Source organism: Homo sapiens, chromosome 4 (assembly GCF_000001405.40).
Source record: "Homo sapiens chromosome 4, GRCh38.p14 Primary Assembly".
Classification (NCBI taxonomy): Eukaryota; Metazoa; Chordata; class Mammalia; order Primates; family Hominidae; genus Homo; species Homo sapiens.
This window is the reverse complement of record NC_000004.12, coordinates 43,316,080-43,343,742: the sequence shown is the minus strand read 5'-3', so window position 1 is coordinate 43,343,742 and position 27,663 is coordinate 43,316,080. Positions and strand designations below refer to the sequence as shown.

The window sequence follows — 27,663 nt, the reverse complement described above, 5'->3', positions numbered from 1 at the left end:
AAAAGGAAAGAAAAAAGGGAGGGAGGGAGGAAGGAAAAAGGAAGGAAGGAGGGAGGGAAGGAAGGAAGGAGGGAGGGAAGGAAGGAAGGAGGGAGGGAAGGAAGGAAGGAGGGAGGGAAGGAAGAAGAGAAAGAGAGAAAAAGGGAAAAGGAAAGGAGAGAGAAAGAAAGAAAAAGGAAAAAAAGAGAAAGAAAAAGGAAAGAAGGGAGGAAGGAAGGGAAGGAAAAAGGGAAGGAAGGAAAGAAGAAGGCATGGATGGAAGGAGGGAGGGAGGAATGAAGGAAAGGAAGGAGGAAGGGAGGGAGGGAAGGAAGGAAGGAAGGAGGGAAGGAAGGAAGGAAAGAAAATCACTTGGTTGGCTTTACAAACCAGAGAATCTCAAGCTTATTGCCTGGAGATTCTGATTCAGTAAGTCCACATCAGGGTTCCAGTATTTTCTACAGAGGCTGTGATTGACTCTTATCATTTGGCATGTCTGCTAAACACTGGTGTAGATCTGTCTGAGAGTCAGACAGATGCAGTTCTTGCAAATAGCAGCTTCATTATCTGAAAAAAAAAAGCCTTTGTTTTTTTCCTCAATTCTCTGATTTGAAGAATGGAACTAAACATAGTACTTGTCTTAAATTAGGTAATTTATGCAGAATATTTGGCCCGTTACTGGAATAAACATAATACAATATTGTCATGCTGATCATGTTATTGATGATAGAACACTACCTTTCTGAGTTTTTCTATAGGAACGTCCTATTCGCCACTTCCAAGACCCAATGAGAGAAACAAGTTTCAGCAAAGCCACCTTAGCAGATACTGCCCCAAACATCTGCTCCCTGCAGGCACTTGGTCTCTGTTACAGAGTTACAGAGTTGCAGCCAAAAGCAAAATGGGCCTTTGGGCCTGAGAACGACCACATACCAGGAGCTGCATTGATGTTAGAAGAGAGAGAGAGCACATGGAGATTCAGCTGTAAGAGATTACAATACAAGAAGGACTTATTATTATATTAGGGCTCCAGCCTGAAGTCAGACACTTACCTGTTGTATCTTCTCCTGCCTTTCACCACTGACTCACCTTTGTCTGTTAAAATCCCATTTTATTGAGGGATTGTAATGCTGTTTTTTATCCATTGTAATTTATTCTCCCACGGTGAATCCTTTTAGAAGACATTTAGTTATATAGCACATCAATACCAGTAAGTTCAATGCAAGGACCAAAAATTCCAGTATTTACAACTGGCAAATTTAGATGTCATTGGAACTATAACAAATCATTTGCCTTACAAAATAATTCATCCAAGGAGCCCTTTGAGTAACACGTGCCTCATGGCTTTTAAAAAGTATTTTGCTTTACAAAAAAATTACAGTTACTTTGATTTTTCTTTTTTCAAACATATTGTGTGAATTAAAACCCAGAAGGCTATCAAGGCCCAGACCTCATCATGACCAACTTAGCTGGTGGCGCATATTATTTTTTAAAATAAGATTCCTGTTACCATTGTCAACTGCAGGTTTAAGCCAAGTTTGTACTGCAGGTCGTCTGAAGACAAATGTAGGCAATGATGAAATCTGTCAAAAGACAAAATTACAACAAACTTACTTTAAAAATCTTAATTGGCTTTTATTTGTGATTTTAGATTCAGATTATACCTCATTCTATAAAGTAGAATGAGTGTTCTGATGTGCTGAGAAGAAGTTGGCTTTACAAAAAGTGCTGAAACAGAAACAGGAAACAAAAAGCAGACTGATCATTCCAAAGTTACTTTCGTATAAAGGCTAAAGTGGAAGGAACTTTCCTATCATGCCAACTCAAACTAGCATATTTGGGGATTTGACTGTTATCTCTTTCTCCTGACTTCTTGGAAAGTCAGATAAACAACTTAGTTTCAGCTTGGTGGCATGGAACTTTAGTATGAGATACTACATTTTGGTTTGGTCTGCCAGGCCTGGTGCAGCTCACGCTAAACCAATGGTCTTCTACAAATTGTATTTAACAAATCAAAAGATTATAAATGTTAAACAAGATGTGGAAATTAAATGAGCATATTAAATAAGATAATGTATATAAAATAGATGTACACAGACCTTAACACATACTGAAAATACAGCAGTTTCTCAATAAATGTTTGTTAGGCAAACATTAGGAATTTTGTAAAAGAAAAAACAAGAATTTTCAATTAAAGTGGTAGATTGAGAATATATATTTATCTGTACTTTCTCCCAAAACCTCACTCATATAAAAATACATAGAAAGTGACTTTAAAAAAGGGGGCACAAAATCCTCAAAGCAATGAGAATGGGATAAAGGTCACCCTGATATTTTAGATGGAAAACAAGTCAGTGTTTGAGAACTGATTTAACAGATCAAAGAAGGCCAAATCCTTAGCTGGCAGGGGTAAATCCAAGAAACATTCAGATTTGATCACAAAGCCACAGAAGACATTTATACATCTGAATAAGGAAGTGAAGTCTGGGCTGAAAATAGAAGGATTGGTTAAAAAAAGTTAAAGTTACTATTAGATCTTATAGTGTTTTTATAATATGGTGGCAAAATTTTTGTGAGTCCTCCCATCAAAAAATAAGATCTGTGTGCCCTCTACTTGAATTTGGGCAGTTTTGTGGCTGCTTCCACAAAGAAATTTTAGCAGGAGTGATGCCATGTGACTTCTGATGCTGGATTATGAAAGACCACACAGCTGTTGCCTTACATTCCAGAACACTTGCTTTTGGAGCCATGTAAGGTGTTCAACAACCCTGATACCACCATGATGGGGAGACCACAGGTAAGCATCCTCACTGACAGTTTCAGCTGAGTCATTCTTCGGAGATCCCAGTCAGGGCCATAACTGGAGAAAGCATCTAGGAATTGGATTGTCCAGCTGTTCTGTCCCCTTGTCATTCAAGTCACCGCTGGTCATTATGCCACCTGCACTGAAGCCACAAACATTACAGAAAGAAGAAAGACTTTCATGTTTCACCCATTCTCGATTCTTCACACACAAAATTTGTGAACATAATAAAGTAGTTTTTGCTTTTTATTGCTAAATTTGGGGGAAAGAATAGAGTTGTTATGCAGCAATATATAACTAAAATGGAGGTCCACATAAGGCAAAAACCTCACAGAACTCTTCTCTATGCTGGGCAGCTGCCCTTTTCCAAACCCCAGCAGTTTACTAAAGGGTAAAACAGGGTCTGGATATCAGAGGGAGATGACAGGCACATCTGAGAGCAGAAGTATAGCACTAAAAACCTGGTATGCATGAAAATGTATCTACTAAATCTTAATGCTGCCAATTTTCTTACCTCACTGGGCACACACAAAGCTGGCAGGTGACGTGCAGCTTCCAGGCTTTATCTTGGAAGAAAAAAGCAAAGCAAACAAACAGGGAAGAAAAAATTATCAAAACAGTAAATACCTAGGGATATAAAAACTTAGAAAACAAATGAAAGCCTCATTATCATATTCAGAGAGAAAAGATGACATATCCACAAAATAGGAGAGATGCTAAAAAATAGCATTATAAAATCTGTAAGTCTTAGAAATAACACAGCAGAAATAAAAATATTAATAGAAGGGCTTGAAAATAAAGTGTAAAAATTATCTAAGAAGAATAGGCAAAAGAATAGAAGTGGAAAGTTAGATTAAGACAATTTAAAAATGTTCTCAGTGGTCCAAAATTTTAAAATTATAAATTTCCAAAGAAATGAGAAAATCAAAACGGAATCAACCCAAGAAACTACTCAAACTGAGTACAGGTTATAAAAGATCCTAAAGCATGTCCAGCCCAATAGACACAGACAGAACCATCAATAAGTTCCAACATTGTGAAAAGTAAGAGCACCAGAAACAAATAAAAAATCTGAAGAAATTTCAGAGACAGAGAGTGAGAGAGAGGAGAGAGAGAGAGTAAGATAAAGTGAACACTGGTCTATATGAGATTCAGAGTTCAAAATAACAGTTAACTTCTCAGTGGAAATATTGTATATTAGCTATTTATTGCTGCACAACAAATTATACCCAAAGTTAGCAGCTTAAAAAAAACCCCACATTTATCATTTCACAATTCCTATGGGTCAGGAAGTGGGAATGACTTGGCTGGATGCTTCTGACTCATTATGACTGGGGCTGTAGTCATCTCAAGGGTCAAATGCAGGAGGGTCTGCTCCCAAGCACACCCCTGTGCTTGTTACCTGGTCTCAAGTCCTGGCTGGCTGTTGACTGGAGGCATCAGTTCCTTGCCAAATGTGCCTTTCCATAGAGCAGCTCAAAGCATGGCAGCTGGCTTCCTTCTAAGAAAGAGAGAGAGAAAGAATGCCCCAAACAGAAGCCATGGACTTTCATTCTAGTGTCAGAGGTGGCATCCCACCACTTTTGCCATGTTCTATTCATTAAAACTAAATAACTAAATTGAGTTCATACTCATGAGGAGAGGACTACAAAGGTGAATACCAGGAGGTGAGGATCACTTGGGACTGTTTTAGAGGCTACCTGAGAATACAATTGAGCAATACTTTAGAATTCAGAAGGAATAAATTTGTCCAAGCCAGCATTCTATACCCAAACTAATTGCTATAGAACAACTGGATTTTCTATTTGCAAGGTCTCAAATTTTATCTTTTACGCACTTTTTCTGTGTCATACATTGTACACATTCCCCAGCTTCTGGAAATATTGTTTGCTGACTGCTTACAGTTATGTCCTTCTTTGGGATTACTCTTGACTGAAGGAGGCATGTCCCCACCTCCAGGACAGCCTTCATCCAGGGACTGATCAAGGAGAAAGGGTACAAATACTAAGCCATCTATCTATCCTCAATGTACAATAACTCTGAAGGGCCATTTCAGCTCTAGAGCTTCCTTTTGGTTCAGCTAAGACCTATGTTCTGTGCTGTACTTTAATTTCTCTTTCTATCCACCACCCATGTCTTCACAAGTGTTCCTTAGAGCATTCCTGAATAATCTTTCTGCATATAAATGTTCTTCTTGAGACAATTTCTGAGGAACTCAATTAAAACAACTGTTAACAGAAATGATTGAGGAAGCAGAGTCTAAAAATGAGAGTTTAGAGCTAGATCATCACCAGCTGGCTGGCAACAAGAGCTTTATCATGAACATGGGTGGTAATTGGACTGATGAGAGCAACTGGCATATTATAGCTGTGAAATTTTTAAAGCATTCATTGATTGTAAAGTGAGATGGGAAATCAATGAAAGAAAATGTACCAGCAAGTGCACTATCTCAGACATTTGATAGGTTCTAGAGGAGTACTTATTATGAAGAAAATGCAATAGGATGGCATTTGCTCATGCTATTATTGCATTGAAGAAAGACAATGAAGTCTGGGTGTGGTGGCTCACGCCCACAATCCCAGCTCTTTGGGAGGCTGAGGCAGGTGGATCACCTGAGGCCAGGAGTTCAAGACCAGCCTGGCCAACATGGTGAAACCCTATCTCTACTAAAAATACAAAAATTAGCCAGGCGTAGTGGCACCCACCTCTAATCCCAGCTATTCAATAGGCTGAGGCAGGAGAATTGCTTGGAACTGGGAGGCGGAGGTTGCAGTGAGCCGAAACACCCTACTGCACTCCAGCCTGGGTGACAGAGTGAGACTCTCTCTCAAAAAAAAAAAGAAAAAAAAAAAGACAATGAGGTTCTTATCTGCTGATATTAGAGGCAAAAAATGGTCAGAATCAGATTTAAGACTTATTAGCAAAGCAGAGCTCCAAAGACAGTCATCACATCAACTCTGGCAATTGTGCTATGTAAAAATTAGGGCCCAAGTTGAGAAAGAGTGAAATTTTAAAACTTTGGGTAAAGATAGATAGGTTGCATAAAACAGTCAAGAATCTTGAGAATTCACATTCCCCTGAAATGAAACTTCTAGGCTTTCAAAAGTGACTCACTCCTCCCCATTAGTAGTCATCCCTCTCCCATTATTTTTTAAGATGATGCAGAGGACCCTGCTTTGTATAAACACACATATCCCTTTCAAAATCTACCTCCACTTCTCCTAGTTACCAGAAAAAAATTAGGGCCAATCCACAGTGCAATTTATGCACAACATAATCCAGAAAGATGCTGGCCCATTAACCAAGAAAAAGTACTAGACCAAAGGACCTCTAGAATATAACAAACACATGTCAGCAAATCCCACAATAATATATATGGTTGTGGAATCAGAGAGGGCTGGATCAAGGTGGATTATGTATAAAGATGAATATAAAGAACTTATTGATATAGGGACGCTCTTGCCCCTTATTAAAATGTGATACAAGTGAAGGAAGATCAAGCTCAGTTAGTAAATGGGTCAGTTAGTATGAGTACAATAACTAATCTTAATTTAATTAAAGACTAATATATTGCTGACATAGGACAGAGCCACTCAGAATGGCCCTGAAAACTATAATGTTGGCAATCATTTCAGCAAAAAAGCTTTTGGGCCTGCACCTGTTATTCTACATTGTTTGGAAAAAGAAATTTTCCAAGGCAAAAACATGCGTGTATTCATGGTACAAAATGACTTGATTTCTTGGTCAGAGTTTGGAAAGAGAAAAAATAGCAAATAAGAAACGAAGAGTTCTAGAAGAGGCATGTGAATGGACCTATCGGAGTGGTCATGAAGTGCAAAAATCTTTGTATCACATGTCAATACTCATCAGAGAATATCTACCATGGAAAAGGCACTAAACAACCAAGTAGATACAATGGTTTAGCTAATTGACTACGTGATTCAGATAGTCTCTGTCATTGAACATCCCCATCTTGTAACAATAGTGGCAAAGATGGGGACTATGCATCGGCCCAGTAACATGAGGTTCCACCCACCAAGGCTAATCTGCCTAAACAAAGACCAATTCTGAGTACCCATATAGTGACGTCTCTTCAACCATTCAATTGGTTGGCAAGTTAATTTCACAAGACTCTTCACTCTAAAGGGACAGCTATTCATCTTGAATGAAATAAACACATACTCTACATATGCATTTTATTTTCTTTCTTATAGAGTATCAGCCATTCCCTCAGGGATGATGAACTAGGACACTCATGATATGACTGATGCATGTGTTCTACAAAATGAAAAATTAAATCAAGAAAAAGGAGCTTATAGGATTCAGTGACCACAGGTCCCAACAAAAGAGAAAAATGAAGAAAATCCCTGGGTCATTTTTGATTAAGAAAAATTAAAAATGACCATTGTGCAGCCATCCTAAAGAGTTATAAGTCCAGAATGATGTAAAACTCAAGCCTCAGAAGAGAAATACGTCTTCAGGAAAATTAAAATGACATGAAGACTATGTATAACATGGCCAATGTTTTTGATAAAATGTTATGAACAAAAACAGGTTACAAAGTAGTGTGCATATGTGTGTGCATGTGTGCGTGTGTGTATTATTCTACACTATAAAAATTTATGGAAACTTATTTATTAGAAAAATATTGGCAAGAAATATATTAAAACAAATAATTCTCCACATAACTTTTTCTAATGATTTTGTGAATTTATGCCTTACCTTATTCTTAAGTAGATTTGGTGAGTTCAGCTCACTGTAACATTTTTATATATTATTTCTAATTTTTACTCTAATTCAGCCATGTGGAAATTAATTTTATTCTTGCCTGTTTTCAAGTATAACAAATGTCTCTGAGGGGTTAAATAACTTGTTGAAATTCACCCAAGGGCCTAAGTCATACTCAAAACTATAAAAGTAGTTTTGTTCAGTGATTAGAAGTGATTTCTACTTACATTTTTCAAAGTTTCAAAAATATGGTTATGTTGATTTTATAGTGAAAATAAGTTTGTAAAATAAGGAAAAATGGACTCATGAGATATTCAATACATATTCATGAATTTTCAAGTGGATAAAACACAGAACAATTGTCATTCAAGTTCCCCTGGTTCTATTTTTAAAATACATGGTTAAATTTTATGCTAGGAAATTGTGTTGTCAGCCTAAATCATCCATACAATTTCAAGCAAATATGTCATTTTCACTCCTTAATCTATTAACTATGAATTGTTGTGTTTAGCAACTTAGCTATCTACATTTTAGAGCTGTCTGAAAAAAATCTTGCATAAATAGTATAGTTTTTAAGTAATACATAGAGTTTTCTGTAATAGTAGAACAAAAAGCTTTTCAAGTAAAAGAGGAAAATATTGTCATAATAAAGAATGTCACATCTATCAGTTCCATTGGTAAGTTTTGGGTCTTCCCTTCTTACTTTTAATAATGTGCTCTATGGACACTTTAGACACACATAAGAAATTAAAATGGCTTTATAATTTCTGTGTAAGTAGCTTCATTCATTAAAAAAAAAAAACTGAACGTATTCACTGAGAGATGAAACAATACAAGAGCTGGGATGAACTAGAGAACATCCTGAGGCAGAAGCCAATGCCATAACCCTGTCATTCCTTCCTCTTCAAAACTATAAATGCATCTTATGGGGAAAGAAAGGTAAAATTGTTTTAAAGACTATGCATCATAATTGGGTTTACTTACTATATTAAGACTTCAAAATGCTCTCATAGCCAGGTACTTGAACCTTAATAAAGTAACTTTTTTTCATTTTTGCCACTCAAAATAACAAAAGGTAAGTACTAGACAGTCTAAATCAGATTCATTTCTGTTATTTAAGTGACTGGAAATTATTAATTTAGTAAATGGAACAAATATCTCTTGCATAATGTCATGTACAAAAGCGTGTGTTGGAGTTTAAGTGGTCCTCATAACTATTACTCTTCCCCCTAAATGAAGGTCAGAACTAACAGAGAGATAGGCATAAGAGTTACACATATGGAGATCCAGATATCACATTCATTACCAATAAATCCAGTGTTGAAAAATATGAGTTAGAATGAGTGCTAATGTAGCTAGCTAGTGTTTTTCCCCATAATTAGAGAACCAAGTAAGGGGACAAAGAGAAACCAAATGTGTTACTCAAATGGAAGATCGAGTCGCATGGAAACATAAGAAAGGAAAGATGGTCCCTTCCAAACACTTTGCCCTGAGCACTTACACATGATCAAAAACCTACAAGACATAACCACCTCATGAGATATAGTTAGTGCTATGAGTGAGGAAAATTATAGCTCATTAATTGACTAATATGTTTGTTTCCTACCTACATTGAAAAGTTTTGGTGACATAAATCTTCAAATTTTAAGCATATTTTAGAAATAATGAGTAAAGAAATAATGAGTAAAATCGAATGAAAAGTGAAGGATAACTGGATAACTAATGATTTGGAGGAATGAGAGGTCACTGCTTGCTGGACGCTTGGGACCAGTGTTCCCAAAGAACACTTGTTCCCCAAGTTAGATTTAGAAAAATCAGTGGAATGCAAAGAGTGAGAAAAGAAGTGAAGAAGATTTTTCAGGTAGAAAAAATAGGTACAAGTAAAACCACAAGGGTATATTAATAAAAATTATATTTTGAGAAAATGGGTAGGCCTTCTAAGTCAGAGGAAAGGGGTCACATTGTGATGAAAATGGAATATGCAGAATAAAAGTCTGGAACTGGACCATTGAAGAACTTAATGATTCTAAGAGGCGTGCTTTGTATATACAGAAGAAAGCTAGTGAAGGTTTTTGAGCAAAGTTATAACATAAAAATAGTATTTTAGGGGATAAAATAAACTAGGAACAAATGACCAAATGAATCAAAAGAAAATCAAGTTTGGAGAGGAGAGAGAGAAAAGAACAAATGCTTCGTTTAGCTCTATTCACTCTTATTATTTTCCCAGTCTTAGACATCTAAATCTACTGTGATAGTCAGATTAAAGGCATATGTGTGTATTCTGCAGTTAAATTATTTTCAGTTCTAAAAATTTACATCAGAAGCTGTTTTTCTTTCATCATTTAAGTTTGTTTTAGTTGGTATATTTATTTTCAACATTTTAAAATTGAATTCTGAAAACAGTAGGGAAAGGCCAAAAAGATTCTGATACAAAAGGCTCTTCCTTGATTATTTTCCCTTTTCCTTTTATCTCATATTTTATTCTACTTAAAAAATAGTCTCTTAAAAGACATTTATTGGAAAGTATCTGGCTGCACATGTGTGCATTGGCCTTGTTCTCTATCACAGTGAGATGGCATCATGAGGAAGTGGATGGTGGATCATGCCAAATTGAAGACAAAAGGAGGCAGACGTTTCCCCAGGACAGTACAGGTAAGAAAAATGGAAGGATTGGCAGGCAGAGCTGGACTCTCATCCCCACAAATGGAACCAAGAAATGAAGCAGTGGAAACAACTAACATGTAAAGCACAGCACGAGAAGATGCACCTCAAACAGAATTGTCCTGAGGAAAGTGTTCTGCAGCGACAAGAAGGCAAGAAGGAAGGGAATGGCATTGCTCAGGGCCACCTAAGCAATAATATCAGGAAGTGATATTATTATCATAAACAGCAATAAAAATTTACTGATAGATTACTACATTTAAGGCTCTGAGCTAAACACTTTAACATGCATTATCTCTTTTAATTCTTAAAACAATTTTATACGTTCAATTCAACTGTTATAATGTACTTTATAGCTGAGAAAAAATTGATGCTCAAAAGGGTTATGTCTTGCACAAAAGTCATGCTACTCATAAACAACACAGCAAATGTTTGAACCATGACAGTTCTTCCAGAATTTCAGCCACTGTCATTATGCTTCTTTAGAGACCACAATTCTTAAAATGAGAAAGAAGAAAATACGAAGTTTTCAGAGATTATGTTATCATGAATTAGATGGTAGAAATTAGTGAAACTTTGACTTGATGTTTGTTGCTTCTTTATGGTAGCCCCATCATATTCCTAACCTTACTAGCTGATGGCCTAGGAAATATCCCTTGTATTTAAATTATTTAATCATTCAATTTGTTCTATAGAGTAGGAAAAATGCTCTTTGAGAAAAAAAATACTGCTATTCAAAAAATGTGATATAAAAACAGAAATAATAGGAAATTAAAATGTATTTTAAATTATTTTTTATTGTGTGTATTCCACAATCAAGTTCTCTGTGGTTTTCTAGCCTTTATGAAGAATATCAGTATTATCAGATCTCATAGTTTTTCTTGACACATCTAAATACCAGACTTGTAATGCAGTTGATTAGTTTTGACACAGGTGAAATAGATAAAATCAATTTTCTTATTCTTTGGTTCATTTCACATTTACTGAATACCTACTCAGTGCCTAGCAGAATGGAATATACAGGGGAATTTGTAGCAGAGTGGGAGTACAAAGGTAAATTTTAAAAGTGCTCACACAATAGTATTTATACACTAAATGGAGGAATATAATCATAAAATTGTCACTGAAAGTGCAAGAATAGAGATTTTCTGAGTGTTAAGGAAGGATTAAGGAGAAACTCCTAACCCAGCCTCAAATGGTGAATAACAGATTTTGGGTGGCTGAGTTGAGCACTATCAAACATTAGGTTTTAACCAGATAAAGAGGGTACACTCTCTAAATGAGTATTTCTTCAGTCTCAGTCACAATATCAACAACATCCTGCCTCCCCCAGCTCACTGGTCTATACTGCAAATACTCTCCCTAGTAAGTGTCATACATTTCTAGAACTTTAATCACTGCCTTTATTGTAATTTCCTAAACCTGTGCTTCCATCCAAGATCCTCTCCTTTGCTCTAGATCTAGATATTCAGCTGTCTTCTACAACTTCCATTCAGATAGGCCACATATACTTCTATTGCAATGTGTTTTACCTTTTCAACGTATACATGTTACCCAAATGTGCTCTTTCTCTTTTATTCTTTATTACAAAGAATGGCCCATCAAACACCAAGTGACTCAAGCCAGGGATGGATGAGTCACTCAAGATTCCTTACTCCCTCATCCAATTAATCATCATCTTTTCCTCATATATCCTAAAAGTTTGCCTTTGTGTTGTGATCACTCCACAGAGGCAAGATGGAACTTTACCCCAAATTTGGTTTGCATGTCAAGACTAATGACAACACACACATACCAAGAGGGTATGAAACATTTTATTATTTAAATAATATGGCTTTCTGGGGATATAAGGGCATGAATCCCAAGCTGGTTTGAAAATGACTTGAGAGAGCAGCAAAGGATGCTGCTTGGGTTTTTCTTTTTATTGTGGTTAGTGTCTGGGATCAGGATGATGGTTGCAGTGTATGGACAAGGGCTCATGTGGTTTGAATTACCTACCAGAGACAAAGGAGAAAGCACTAGACTTTCTTATCACTTTCCCAAATGTTGGACACAAGGGAAAGATAAGTATAAAAGCTGTCAGACATCAAACTTTTTATGGCATTATGACATGCCAGCATCATCTCTCATTTGCTCTATTTTCATAGCCTTCCAATGTCTCACTTTCTCTAATCCATGTGATCTGCCAGTTCAACTTCCACCCTCAGGCTCATACACTTGCAAACTGATGGTGATGCCATAACTCTGTGAAAGATTCTTCAGTGACTGTGCATCACTCAGCAGTAATTCCCAAATGTTCTCATTGACAATTTGGAGACTGAATCCTGGGGGTGGGGATTACTCAAAATGGTTCACCCTAAGATTTTTTATATATTTTTATATATTTTATATATTTTTAAATATTTTAAAAATATATCATTTATCATAAATATCATGTAGATTTAGTCTTCTACAGCAGATAGTGTTAGGAGTTTTAACATAAAAAAAACTTTCACGTGTCAATTTTAAAATATACTAAAATATTATAGTTCCCTTATGTTTTCTAGGAGGAGTTGCACATTGATCCAGTAGCTTTTAGTCTTAACCAGGCATACCCTCAGGACACATATATTTAACTTTGAGAATCATAACCTTACACAACAAAATGCAGACTTCTGTTTAATGTACCAGGCCTTTCACTATTTTAACCCATATCTACTCTCAGATCCTATCACCATGGCCCACCCTTCCAAACCACACACCACTGTTGTAACACACTCTCCCTGCTGGTGTAACAATTGTGACCCGCACGTTTCACCCCTCTATGCCTTCACATTGTTCCCACTGTATGGAGTGCCCTGTGTCCACTCTTCACTAGATACATCTGCTCCTGCCCTTATATCTCCAGAAAGCCCTATTCTTTAAGTCATAAAACTTTTCATACCCTCTTGGTTTGTGTGTGGTGTCATCGGTCTTGACATCTAAACCAAATTTTGGGTAGGAGCCCATCCTGCATCTGCTGAGTGATTACAACACAAGGTAAGGTACAACATAAGGTAAACATTTAGTATATAGAAGGAAAAGAAGATGATTAATTGGATGAGGAAATAAGGCAGAGGGTGGAATCATGAATGATTCATCTATTTCTGGCTTGAGTCACTTGCTGTAGGATGGGCCATTCTTGGCAGTAAGGAAAAGAAGAGGAAGAGCACATTTGAGTAGATGTATACACTGAAAATTTTAAACAAATTGCAATAAAAGTACATCTGGGCTATCCAAATGGAAGTTGTAGAAGACAACTGAATATCTAGATCTACAGCACAGGAGAGAATCTTGGGTGGAACAACAGATTTAGGAAATTACATTATAGACAGTAATTAAAGTCCTGGAAATGTATGGCACTAGGGAGAGTATTTGCAGTATAGTGACCACTGAGCTGAGGTATACTCAATCCTTCATAGAAAGGATTTTAGTCCCTCTTTGAAGTGTTCCCCCTAGGTTTTCTCTGAACATTAAACATATTTAGATTGTATCAGGTACTGTAGTCTGAATATTTGTGTCCCTCCAAAATTTGTATGTTGAAATCCTAACCCCTAAGGTTATGGAAGTAGAAGGTGGGGCCCTTGGGAGGTCATTAGCTTATGAGAGCTCCACCCTCATAAATGGAAAAGTGCCCTTATAAAAGCGGCCCCAGGGAAAGCCCTCACCCAATCCACCAGGTGACTTTAGAGTGAGAAGGTTGCTGTCTATGAGGAATGGGTTCTCACCAGATGCCGAATCTGCTGGCTTCTTGATCTTGGACCTTACAGGCTCCAGAAATGTGGGAAATAAGTTACTGTTGGTTATAACCTACCAGTTTATGGTATTTTGTATGGCAGCCTTAATGAACTAAGATAGTATGGATCTTTCTGTGAGTGTGATTTTTGCCTGTCTACCTTCCTACAAGTTTTCATGGACAAGGATGGCATATATTCAATTTCATGAGCTGGCTCTGAGCCTGCTGTACAGTGGGTACTCTGCATGCTTTGTTGAGTGAACAAAGAAATATTTTTGAGGTGACACTTATGATAGTAACCGTTGCAACCCTTTCTTTTAAATGCTGTAAAAGAAATCTCTCTAGTAATAATATGTTCAGAATTCTTAATTTTACCCATATAAAACATGACTTTAAAATAGTTAAAATTATAGGCTGTATTCATTTTAAAGAGCATTATAAGAGATTCTTAAAGAGGAAAAAAGAAACAGTAAAAAAGGACCAAAGGAACAGCACAAAAAGGAAGTAAAATTTTAAAAAGAAGCCTAGAGAAAAAGAAAAGTGAGAGAGTACCCTCCCATCCTCCCCCACCCCCTCACCGCCCCAACACACACATACACAAACTCTCTGAAAACTCCCAAGTGAGGCCGGGCGCGGTGGCTCACGCCTGTAATCCCAGCACTTTGGGAGGCCGAGGCGGGCGGATCACGAGGTCAGGAGATCGAGACCATCCCGGCTAAAAAAACGGTGAAACCCCGTCTCTACTAAAAATACAAAAAATTAGCCGGGCGTAGTGGCGGGCGCCTGTAGTCCCAGCTACTTGGGAGGCTGAGGCAGGAGAATGGCGTGAACCCGGGAGGCGGAGCTTGCAGTGAGCCGAGATCCCACCACTGCACTCCAGCCTGGGCGACAGAGCGAGACTCCGTCTCAAAAAAAAAAAAAAAAAAAAAAAAAAAAAAAAAAACTCCCAAGTGAAAAGCAGATGTAGGGAAATTCACACAGTATCTCAAGGCTGTGTAGAAATGGAAGAGGAAAGAGAATTTACACAAATCATAAGAGAATGACTGGGGCAGGAGAGGAGCCAGAAAATTTAAATGTGAAGCAGGCCCATGAAATATAACTATATTTTCTGATAAGGGGACAGTGGGCTTCAAGTGGGCAGTAAGATAAGTTGAATGCATTATTATGTGTGTGTGTGATGTGAATAAGTAAGTAAAAGCTGAGCTTTTTACTACTGAGGATAAGTCATAAGTTGCTAAATTTTTATTAGAGTAGATTTGTGCAGTGTATTTCCCATCCCTGGACCATTAACATTGTGAACTCAAGGACATTTTTCTTCTACAAGCCCCTTCATGCACAGAGTGACAATAAAAATAACAAAAAGAATGAAAAGAAAATAAGAATCTAAATAATAATATAACATTTTTGAATCACGGATGGTCCAGAAACTCAGTTGTATTAGGAAAATTATATATATATATATAGTTAGTGTTTGTTTTGTTTTGTTTTGTTTTTTGTTTTGCTTTAATGTCACAGAGTGATTCCTATTTTGAACACCACCGTACTCATTTGGGAGGAAACTGTTTTAGTCTTTTTAGATATTTCTTCCAGTCTAACACCAGGGGATCAAGAATCTAATAAAGTGTCAAGGAGTGAAGGGAGAGGAAAGCAAAGCCCGTGAATGTCAGTCATCAGTTCCCACAGTTGGCGTCTGAGATACCCACCATCCTGCACCTAAGTCAGTTCCTAGTCTGACAGCTCAGAGGAACCCTCTGCTCTTAGATGTGCAGCGCTCTCCTTTCTATAGCTGACCACAGTAACTTTCTTTTAGACTCAAGGAGAATCCTTCTACTTTCAGATTATGTGTCAAAATATCTTGTCTGTACCCTGAATTTTCTCTTCCCTCTGTGAAAAAAGAAAACAAGAAGTCAGGAGAACTATGACTACTTCCTTTAGTTCTTAAGGCAATAAACATTGTGTTAGATGATGCCCGGCCGGTAAACTATGAGGGAGAAAAAGATTATCATCTCACAAGTTATTATATCAAAAAATACCTTGCCACATAGTTATTGTTACTTGCATGCTTACTTATATGCCGGCCACTGAGATAATCACTTCATGCTTGCTAGCGTGTTGGGTGGTATTGTTTATGAACAGAATCTCTTGTATTGAACAAGAAAAAATTACCAGGAGTAGCTGGTAGAGATAATATGGTTTAAATTTATTGAATTCAAATACAAGTGTACAGAGAAAGGTCACCCACAAATTGAGGAAAGGCAGAGAGAGCAAGGAAAAGGAGAAGAGTGTTTGCAGGAGTATAGCAAATTGAAGGCATAGTTAAAATGTGAACAAGTTGAGCCAAGGCCATAGCAAAGACTGAAGTAAGAACAAACCACACTTAATAGTCCTGGAAATGGAAGAGTTCAGAATACACCACCCAACATGACTGCTTTGGCATACTGACTATGTTGAGCTGAAGGCACTTGAGAAACAGCAGATGAAGGAAGGGCTCTCTGACCTCCCCTTTTCTGTCTAAAAGCAGGTCATAAAATGTTCCATGAGAAAGGTGACTCCTATAGAAGGAAGAAGACATTCTTATCACCAGAGTCTGGAATTCAATATCATAATGAGCCTGTACAAACAAACCTACCAAAACAACCTTTCTCTTCCATTAGTTTTCCCCATATATGCCCTTTTAACTGTCCCACACTTTGCTACCACTAGCCCAAAGCTCTTCATCTTGTCACGTCATCACAATTTATTGTTCTTTGTGTAAAAATGTATATAAGCTTTTGGCTTCTGTGGGTCTTCATTTTTCTTTTGAAGATCCCTGTGTACATGTAAAAATATTATATAATAAAGATGTCTGCCTTTCTCCTGTTAATTTGTATTATATCAGTTTAATTATTGGGCCAGTCACAGAACCTGAAAGAGTAAAAAGAAGTTTTTTGTCCCCTGCAATAACAGGTATCTCTCCTTATACAAACGATGTAGTGGGAAAAGTTATATGTCAATTAAGTCAATAGAAACCAGTAAAAAGAGTATTTTGTAAAAATATGCAGTTTAGATAGTTAAAACTTGGGACAGAATCTGGGATGAATCTGGGATGAACTTTTTAGAGAATTGTATTCCCCTTGCAAAGAACAATATAAGTAAAGAAAGAATTGGAGTTATTAACAAAGAAAGTAAATTAGTTGTTTACTAGGAAACTTCTCTTTTGGAGACCTGTTTTGTCTACTGATGGACCTTTTAATAGGCCATGTTCATAAACTAAATGTTTCCTGGGTCCACACTTCTTCAATGTCCTTTCTGATGCTATTATTGCAAGGAAGAAAGCCCTGAAGGCAAAAGGAATTTGAAATATACACTTATATGAAATAAGTGTATTTGACTTTCACAATGGGCCCTATGAGTTCTTAATTTTCCCATTTCATAAAAAGTTAAACTAAAAAGTAGAAAAATAATGTAATTTGGCCTGTTGAGAAAAATGTGGTATTGCATAAAAATTTAAAACTTTGGTGTGAAATTCTTAGAGGACTAAGATAAACAGTAGGCTATGGACAAAATATACTTCTCTAATTTTCTGTTGAACACTTATTTTCACCTTTCTCATTACTTAAGGTACAAAACATGTCAATAATTAATAAAATTTGTTTTAGAACTCTCCCTTTCTGAGATAAAATGGGGACTAGGCATGATTCTGGTCATTAAAATGGAAATCAAAGACTGTAAGAAATCTCTGGGAAAGTTTGGTTCTTCCTCTTTATATCTACTTATTTTTCATCTTGCCTGGAATATGCAGTGAAAGGATGGAGGAGAAATAATATCAAAGCAGAATGACAAATAGAACCTAGCCCACTAATGACATTTAAAAAAAACCCAGCTATATCATCCCAAGCCTAATTCTCTCTGAATTTTGTGTTATGTGGAAAAAAAAAAAAAAAAAGGAAACTATCTTTCCTTAAACCACCACAGTTAGTTTTCTGTTATAGTTGCCGAAGCCACTCTTACCTCTTAAGGGACTTTATATCTGGAAGGGAGTTTTGCAAATTCTGAAAATGAGGAAGTGGCTTAATGATGGTGTGAGACTTTGGGCAGGAACATCACAAGCTGGAAAACTAGCAACCTTTGTTATATAACAGAAAACATCAACCTGTTGCCTGCCAAGTGCAGTAGGAAGCCACAGTAAGCAAAATCGAGAGTGTTGCAGTGTGCTGGTCTCTTCTTGCTGCCTTCAGCAAAGTCTTGAAGGAGTGGGCTGAGCTTTGGTTTATGCTACGTAGCTGGCAGGCAGCAATGAAGACAACACAGCTTTGCTAAGGAAAAAAAGACAGCCTTTTAAGTAGGAGCTTTCAGAGGTGAAAAGAGGCAATGCCTTAAACTGAGGTGGTTGTGAGAGGTGGCTGCAGACAGACAGACTAAGCAAAAGATGAAGCAGGAGCCCCTGCCTTTCCCTAGTAACTTCCTGGAAATGTCTCATTCTGTGGCCAAGATAATGTAAACTGTACCGTATCCTCACCAGAGTCTATTGTTTTTACTGGCTTTCAGTAAAAAACATTCTTAATTATGTTTAAAGATATGAGCATAGCACAAAAGCAGATAGGTGAGTAGGAGAATTATATGCTTAAAAACTATATCCTGATACAAGTATTAGCAGTGGTTTTTATGCATAGGATTGACCACACTCAAATGAAAACAAACAAACAAAAAAAAAAGCTTTCTGAGGAAACTGTACTGCCACAGAGTCTCCAGGCTTGAGTGGCCACAGCCAGGATCATTCCATTTCTAAACTATACCTGGACTCCCTGGGATTGACTTAGGAAGCTTTGCATCCCTAATAGCATTATACTATTCAATATCCATCGTTTTTCTGGCTCTGTAGGACAATGTTCAAGGGAATTCTCTCAAAAAGGCAGAAATGGGGCTGCAAAATTGACTAATTAGGAAACATGCTTTGTTACTAGAGCAAGGTGCTTTCCCACTTTTTTTCAAGGATTCTATATTTTCTATTTGCCAGTGTCTGTGTTCTTTTTCCTTCTTAATTTTTGAGTGGAAATGCATATTACTGTCACCTTATTCATCTTCCTGCCTGTTGTTGAATTTATTGAGAGAGGATGTCTTAGTCCATTTAGGCTGCTATAATGGAACTGCAAAGTTTATAAACAACAGGAAGTTATTGCTCCCATTTTTGGAGGCAGGAAAGTATAAGATGAAAGCACCAGCAGATTTAATGTCTGCTGAGAGTCCATTCTTTATAGATAGTACCTTCTATGTGTCCCCACATGGTGGAAGAACCAAACAGACTTTCTCAATCCTCTTGTATAAGGGCACTAATGCCATTTATGAGAACAGATCCCTCATGATCTAATCACCTTCTAAAGGCCCCACGTCTTAATACCATTATACTAGGTGTTAGATTCCAACATGTGAATTTGAGGGAGACACCAACATTCAGACAATTGCAGAGGATAACTGGCCTTCAGTGTCTAGGTTGCTGGACCATGAGAAACCACAGCTAGAGACGATGAAGAGAAATGCAAAGCACTAAATAATACTTGATTCTGAAGTGAGTGCAGAAACCAAAAGAAACTTAAGAGGTGGGTAAATGTATGTGATATACAATGCAATGGATGTATATAGATGCTGGTCAATCAAGAAAAACAGAGGCAGACACTGCTAGTAGCTTACCCAATACCAAATCTCCCCCATTCCTTACTCACAGAACCTCTATTCTGTTCAAGGAAGCATGTGCCCATCTAAAATCTATATTCCACATCTACCTTTGTTATGAAGTAAGGTCACGTGATGATGATCTGGACCAATAAGAGCTGAGAAATAAGGCACTAAAAAGTTCTGTGGAAATTTTTATTTCCTACTATTGTTATTATCCCTCCCTCTAGGCTGCTTTCTTCTGCTTCTTCCTGCCTAGAAATCTATCATGAGATGTGAAGTGAGCAGCAATCATTCAACCTTGAGAATTAAATCAGAAAGCTAGAATGAACTTGGGCATTGACATTGATGATCTGGTGAAGTTGTGAAGTTACTATACCTGCTCTAATCTCCCTAAGTCTGCATTTCTTATGTGGAGAAATTAAACTGCTGTTTTGTTAAGTCACTATAATCATGTTTATTTCTTTCCTTTTTTTTTTTTTTTTTTTTTGAGACGGAGTCTTGCTGTTCACCCAGGCTGGAGTGCAGCGGCCCGATCTCTGCTCACTGAAGCCTCCATCTCCTCGGTTCAAGTGATTCTCGTGCCTCAGCTCCCCGAGTAGCTGGGACTATAAGTGCCTGCCACCCCGCCTGGCTAATTTTTGTATTTTTAGTACGGACAGAGTTTTACCAGGTTGGACAGGCTTGTCTTGAACTCCTGACCCAAGGTGATCCGCTGCCTCGGCCTCCCAAAGTGCTGGGATTATGGGTGTGGGCCACCAAGCTCGGCCATGTTTCTATTTCATGTAGCTGAATGCAATCCTTACTAGTTAACCCTGGGTGTAGTAAAAGTTGTGGATGTCAATGGAGAACTTGACTTTGTAGAAGGTAAAGATTGATCATCACCAGATAGAACAAATGTTTCTATAGGATATCATAATATAAGATCAGCTTAGAGATAGGGAACTCACGAGGGTTGCTTGTGTGTCTGGAAGAATGAGAAATGGAAAAATGCAGAAAAGTTAAACGAGGGAATTCAGTAGGGCAACAAGAGTTCTTCAAATTAAGATAAATGAAAGTAGAAACAAAAAAGAGAAATTATGAAAAGGTTGTCTAAAATGTATGAAAAAGAACTTCAAGGAATATAAATACAGTTACTTGTGTTAGGTTGGCTTAGCTACCTTGCTCCAATTAGATAACACATTGACATTAGAATCTAAAATAAAATTATGAGCTCTACCCAGTCTGCATCTAAATGTGAGGGATGGGGTAACTCCAGCATATCTAGGTTCCCAGTCATTGATGACTGTCACATTTCAAGGTCTTTTCTTGTTTTTGACTTAGTGTCCCCTAAACAAGGTCTTCAGCTGCTCTTAGTACAGTCTTACAGAAATGCAGAGGATGGAGATAAGTTCACAAATAAAACAAAAATGCCAATCAACACTTGAAAGACATATCAGAAAACAACTAATAAAAATATGTTTCCAAAAAAGTATCATTTATTATAAAAGGAGAGTTTTAGAAGTAAATAAAATATTTAAAAATTCTGTAAGTACCAATGTTATTTAATTTGTTAAATTTATCTTAGTTACTATAGACATGGTTTCAGAGGAAGTCTATATATTTCAGAAGATCATGGAAAGACATCAAGTATTTTTTGAACCCATACATGAATTATTAATTTTTAGAGCATGTCAACTAGAGGTCAATGCTGAAGAGCTTCTATGCAATTTTAAGATCTGATCTTGAATATTTTAAGATCAAGTTTTTTCCGTGTGTGTGTGTGTGTGTGTGTGTTTGTGTGTAGAATTTGTGTATTATTCTATAATATTTTAGCAAAATCCATTTTGTTGAAATGGTAGCTTACTATGATAAATATAATAGATGTAGATAAAGTTATGTCTTTTTAGATAAAAATTTAGATCAAAGAAGAACCCAATAGTTGAGAACGATTTTCTTTATCTGATTTTGCTTTCTGTGCCTCCTAACTGAGCAGTGGTAGGGAAGAGGTGTGAACCGTGTGTTGCAGGGGTAGGAAGGGCAATGACATTTTGAGATACCAGAAAAGAGAGAACTGCATAATACAAAGTAAAAATGAAGCTGAAAAATGTCAAACAGACAAAGATACTAAACCTCATTTGCTTCAGCTTGTCAAACTCAATTTCGTCTACTACATGTAAAAAATCTTTTGAAAAATAATTAAATGCAAGAGGCTGCAAGGTCTAAAAATGATTCCTGAAGTTACCAGAATTCTTAATAAAAATTTCAAGGGGTATGGATGTATCTGGGTGGCACAGAAAGCTCAAGCTTTATATCTGGATTAACAAAGAACTACAAAAATAGCAAGAGAGGCCTCTCCTCACACAGTCACTACAGTGCCAAAGAATAATTGAAACTATGAATGGAGGACGGGGATGGAGTAAGGTTTAAGGCCAACACTTTTCTATTTATAATTTTATTGTATTAAGAGATCAATTCCAAGAAACTGATGTTTTTCAAGGAAGCAGACTACTTTGTTTCCTATAAATCTTTTTTTTTTTATTTCTGTTGCGACAAACACAGTGATAAAGGAAAAGTTCACACAGAAAGTAAAGGTTGGTCACATTGAAAATAATATTTAATTCCCTCATAGATTTGCTTAGAAAGGGCCCTACTTGGTAATGATGTGCAGCAACATAGAAAAGACAGTAGATTCATCACAGATGCATAAAGCAATATTTCCCAAGCTGAGATATTTGGACAAATGGTCATATTGGTTATTAAATATTTAAAATATTTAATTTTGGTTGGTAAATAGCTTCTGTTCCATGTCCCCTGAGTAGTCTCCTGCTAATTTAGTTGTGAAGTCTTGGAATTTCTGGTGAGACAGGGTCTACCCAAACCAAAGGATATTGGTTTTCTTCACAGAAATGTGTTCCCTGCTCCCCAAATCTTGTGCTCACATAGATAATACTGCCCAAAGCAGAAGTACTCTGTTTTTTGTTTTTGTTTTTAAGTTGACACAAAAAAAGCTTTATAGACTAGCAAGACCACTCACCTGTTCTGAAAACCAGCTATGTGCCTGTCTGACCATCAATTAAATATGACTAGCACAAAATTACCACAGAGCCATTCTAATAGTTTTCTGCAAGATTGAATGATGCGTCTTTTCCAGCTAGAACACACTTGACAGCCCCAGCTTCGGGCCTCTCTGGGGACAATGGCTGCAATATTTTGTAACTGAGCAATACCCTTTGATTACATTGCACATATTTATACGTGGATTTTTAAGAGTAAATTATACCAAGTAATTACCAAGAATGAGAAGAGTTATTTTCTAATATTTAGTAAATAAGTCTGGCTGCCAGTAGATAGGCAAGTCCAAATGCTGAAATGGCAATTGTCCTGCTCTCCTACTGAATTATTCTGGTGGTTATAAAGACAAAACTCATTTGCTCAATTTAACAAACATGGACTTGGCAGAAAATAGATCGCACATTCAAAAGGTTTACAAGAAGATAGTTTCATGAAGACAGTATTTACACACATGTTTGCACAAGGATAAGAGGAATAATAAGGAATGATAAAGTACACTGGGACTAGTAAGAGCAAGGGACAATTACTTCCCCTAGACCTGAAGGGGTAAATGGGGGAACAATGTTACCAGAGCTCAGCAGGACACAGGGCTACAAAAAAAGACTCAACCACGGGTCTGTGGCTGTGGCTGGCATAGAAGGAGTCAGAAAAATAAACCCCCACATCTGACTTTCTACTAGATTCTCAATCTTCAATCAGTCTAAACACAACTGGAAGCCAAAAGGCAAATGGACACAGGTGATGCAGCCCATAGCTCGCTCTGCAGGAGCCCACATTTGGGCATCAGTGAGCAGCAAACAAACCTGGAGGGGAAAACAGAGAAGTGTGCTAGTCATTTGTTTTCTTTCGGATTCTCAGGCTGCTGATAGATAAGCAGAAGTCATCGAGTAGGACTTCCCAGTAAAATTCTTTTGAGGTGTTACTCAGCAGGCAGGTGCATTTTGCCTTCCCAATCTTTTTAATTTCTTGCTGAATTATAGATGTGATGGCTGGCTTTACAGCCATTGTTTTTCAACCATGAGTTAATCTTAAGCTAGAAGCTACTAGCTAATAATGTCAAAGCAAATAAAAAGTATAAATTTTGAATATTGTCAATACCATGAGGCCATAATATCCTTGATCTGATATTAACACAGGGAACTGCATTCTCCAAACGTTTTTGCTATCTTCTTACTATCCTTGTCTGCTTCTTGAGAACAAGTGGGCAGAGATGGAAGGATTAAAGAAAATCAAGTCACACTGTCTTCCCCCATCTCTCTCTGCCTCAGACATTACATCTGGCAGTGACTGTGTGTTCTCCATGGCCCGGCTATCACTGGGCAGTCCTTTTCCCCACACCTCTATCTCCCACAGGGTAGGGAAAAGCAGGACAGGGCAGGAATTCCATTTCAGTTTCAGCTACAATTCCAGAATTTAGGAATGAGGCATTGCTACCTCCTATGTCCCTCCAGCCTAGGGATGGTGGCAGCTTCTTGCTGTTTCTACTGCTCAGCTTGTTTCATGTTTGCCTGTGTAGATTCTCAGGTCCTCCATCACCTGCATATCCAATTACCAGTATTAATTTTCTTCTATTTGCAATACCGGGAGTCATTTCTGCTTCTGATAGAACTCCGATAAAATTCTGGGTTAATTTGTAATTGAAAGATATTTTCAGACATACACTTTTACTTCCTAAGTAATTTAATAAGTTGAAAGTATTATCTGACATCACAAAAAACAATATAAGAGATAACAATATTGTACTATATTTTCTCAGGCTAATGAGAAAAGAATAAAGACAAAATTAAATGAAACTTCAAGTATTTATTGTCACCTATAAATGAAGTAATAAGCATACGATATGAAGCTATGAAGAAAACTTTAAGAGTCGTTCAAATAGATGAAAATGGTGGGAAAATTCAGTCAATCTGGGACATAAATGGCAGTAGATGCATAAAAATGTGAAAGAAACCTAACACTTTGCAGTCACTATCATATTCACATTTCATACAGGTATATTGTTCAGAGTCTACTTTTCTCATGCCAGACTTTCATCATATATGGGAATTAGATATAGTGGTAGATGATCCACAAAATACAGCATTAGGAAGCAAAGAGAACTGAAGACCCATTAGTAGGCTAATAATGAAGACTTTGCAGTCCTTCATGTCCTCATAATGGTATTTTGAAATATGGAGAGAATAAAAAATATATTTCAATACTGGAATTTTTAGCATATAAAATGAGAGAAACTGGAATGGATGTAGAAAATTATAAAATTGTATATAATTTATAATTTTATGACTATTCCTATCAAATATATATAACTTTATAGAAAATAATAACAATAGTAAAGTTATAAGCATACATATTTGGATATATGCTTATCAAATATATGTAAAATTTTATAATTCACTTGTCAAAAAATGATATACCCAAGATGCTCCTGAAAACAAGGATGGCTGCTGATAGATAAGCAGAAGTCATTGAGTGGGACTTCCCAGTAAAGCTCTTTTGGGGTGATAGTAGGCAGGTGCATTTTGCCTTTCCAATCTTTTTAATTTCTTACTGAATTATAGATGTGATGGCTGGCTTTGCAGCCATTGTTTTTCAACCATGAGTTAATCTTAAGCTAGAAGCTACTAGCTAATAATGTCAAAGCAAATAAAAAGTATAAACTTCGAATATTGTCTATACCATGAGGCCACAATAGCAGCCATCGCAAACTGAAATTTAGACTTAATTATGTCAGAGGAAACAAATCTCTGTTCTATTTAAATTAATAATATTCAGGCTTATTGTTCATATAGATAAATACAATTACGAGTTGATATTAGCCACTTTTATCTCCAGAGAGTCATCACAAAAATATGAGACTTGTTTTAAACTCTACTCAGAAAGTTAGAGAAGAATCAAATAAATGAAAAAATGTTCTTTTTTCTATGAAAGTGAAGTCATGATTGCAAAAGTCTCAGTTATTTTCTCAAATAATGTATATATAAAGCAAAATTCCAATGAAAATAGAAGATATTTTTAACTTGAGAGAAATTATTTCCAAAATTAATTTGAAAGAAAAAATTAAAATGAAATGGGTAAGAAAAAACTTAAAATATATAATAAGAGGTACTTACCCTATTGTAAATTAAAATAGCTGACATGTAATATGAATCTATAATACATAAGCATGGTGATACTGGTAAATTGACCTACCATTGAACAGCACTGTTCTAAAACAGATTCAAGTATATATGCCTTTAATTGATTATAAAGGATCTCCTCCATGGGAAAACGAATAAAAATTACAATGTTATTGTATCTTACTATGACCTTAGAATTTCTCATAACTACTATCCTGAGTCTGTTTCCATTTGGACATCATTTAAGACAGACCATTTGGATACCAGTTAGTTAAATCTAGCCTTGGTGCATATATATATATTTGAGATGAAGTCTTGCTCTGTCCCCCAGGCTGGAGTGCAATGGCATGATCTCAGCTCACTGCAACCTCCATCTCCAAGGTTCAAGCGATTCTCCTGCCTCAGCCTCCTGAGTAGCTGGGATTACAGGAGTGTGCCACCATACCCACCTAATTTTTATTTTTAGTAGAGATGGGGTTTCACCATATTGACCAGGCTGGTCTCGAACTCCTGACCTCAGGTGATACGCCAGCCTCAGTCTCCAAAAGTGCTAGGATTACAGGTAAGAGCCACCGTGCCCAGCCTGGTGCACCCATATTTTTGAATCAAGAGCATTGACATAAATATTGAAACAAAAACACAGCCCTATAATATGAAGTCTGTCCCTACCAACTTCCACTTGTAAAAACAGAACATTATCTCTTTTAAACACGTACTGCTGGGAAAACTCTTCACTGAGAACTGGGTCAAGGAGAGCTGCTTCCTTTGGAGGCTGTTCAAAATATCACTCTCCAAGGAGATATAATTTGAAAAAGGCAACAAATTTGGGTACTAAACAGGCATGATACTAACTAGTTACACAATCTACAACTTTGAAGCCAATTCATCAGCTATGTGGGTTAAGAATGTACCTCATGCATATAGAAAACAAAGTTCAGGGTCATCTCTTGCCTGAGAGCAGGTGCCCAAGGGTTATGACTAAGAATGAACGCACCCACATTAACTTAGGGCAGAGTGCCACACTTTGTGAGTAAAAAACTTTGATTACAATATGTCTGCAGAACTTTCAAAGTCTAAATATCAGGAAAAATGTTCCAAACCACAAACTTACTCTGAAAAAAAGAACAAGGAAAGTGAATGGAATTAAACACAGAGGCAATTACTGATGATGTTGTTTGGATAAATTCAAACACTTCACAAAGGTACACAAAATGTCTGCTCATTGTTTTTCCTGTTGCAAAATAAATATGTATAGGCAAAGATAATTAATTTTATACAATCTTCAGAAATTGCTATTGATTCTTTCAAAGTGAGTTATTTAGAATTTACAATATCAATACCACCCTAGAAGAAAACTTTTGCCTTTATCTTTAGAGCAATATTTACAAGCTGAAATACCAGTTTTAAGCACACAGATAAATATCTGAGTACCTGAGCGTCAATACTTAGGGACGATATTAGAAAACTCTAGTGGGCAGACTCTGATTATTCTACTGTTTTGCCACTGTAAAATTACAACTTTTAATACCGATTTGTAGAAATTTTCCTCTTGAGAATTTTGTGGTTATAAGCTAAGGAAAAGGAATTATACTACCATGAATTTCAGAGGAAGAAAAGGAACACCATGTTAATACTTGCATATGGAGTGTATTAGTTTGCTAGGGTTGCTGTAAACAAATTACCACAATCTCAAAGCAACAAAAAATTATTATCTCACAATTCTGAAAGGTAGAAGTGAAGAATCAAGGTGATATCAGGGCATGCTCTCTCTGATGGCTCCAGGGGAGAATCCTTCCTTGATTCTTCCAGCTTTTTCTGTTCTCTGGCAATCCTTGGCATTTGTTGGTCTGTAGATGCATCTCCCTGGTCACAAGGCCATCTTCTCCCTGTGTGTCTTCACATTGTATTTCTTCTGGGAG

At 36.8% G+C, this 27,663-nt stretch overlaps 2 long non-coding RNA genes across 3 annotated transcripts in view, besides 1 other annotated feature; one reads left to right on the top strand and one right to left on the bottom strand.

Moving 5' to 3' along the window:
- Window positions 1-1,280: 1,280 nt before the first annotated feature.
- Window positions 1,281-27,663, bottom strand: LOC105374433 (uncharacterized). Of its 2 annotated transcripts, XR_925266.3 has the most exons (4): window positions 27,462-27,663; window positions 4,185-4,283; window positions 3,297-3,348; window positions 1,281-2,924 (listed from the first exon to the last, which is right to left on the bottom strand). It is a non-coding gene; the product is annotated as an uncharacterized LOC105374433 (long non-coding RNA). The 2 variants fall into 2 exon arrangements; XR_925267.3 differs by lacking the exon at window positions 3,297-3,348 and having other exon boundaries at window positions 2,367-2,924.
- Window positions 3,177-4,376: an enhancer, noted in NCBI's record as "MED14-independent group 3 enhancer chr4:43341384-43342583 (GRCh37/hg19 assembly coordinates)". NCBI's record gives its function as "activates an origin of replication core promoter dependent on BRD2, BRD4, P300/CBP and CDK7 cofactors, and independent of MED14, by STARR-seq in HCT116 cells {active_cell/tissue: HCT116}" and the evidence as "EXISTENCE:reporter gene assay evidence [ECO:0000049][PMID:35650434]".
- The window catches only part of LOC105374434 (uncharacterized), a 33,835-nt gene continuing 19,218 nt past the window's right edge, over window positions 13,047-27,663 (top strand). The window contains exon 1 of the long non-coding RNA XR_925268.1: window positions 13,047-13,189. This is a non-coding gene — a long non-coding RNA (uncharacterized LOC105374434). The remainder of the gene's footprint in view (window positions 13,190-27,663) is intronic.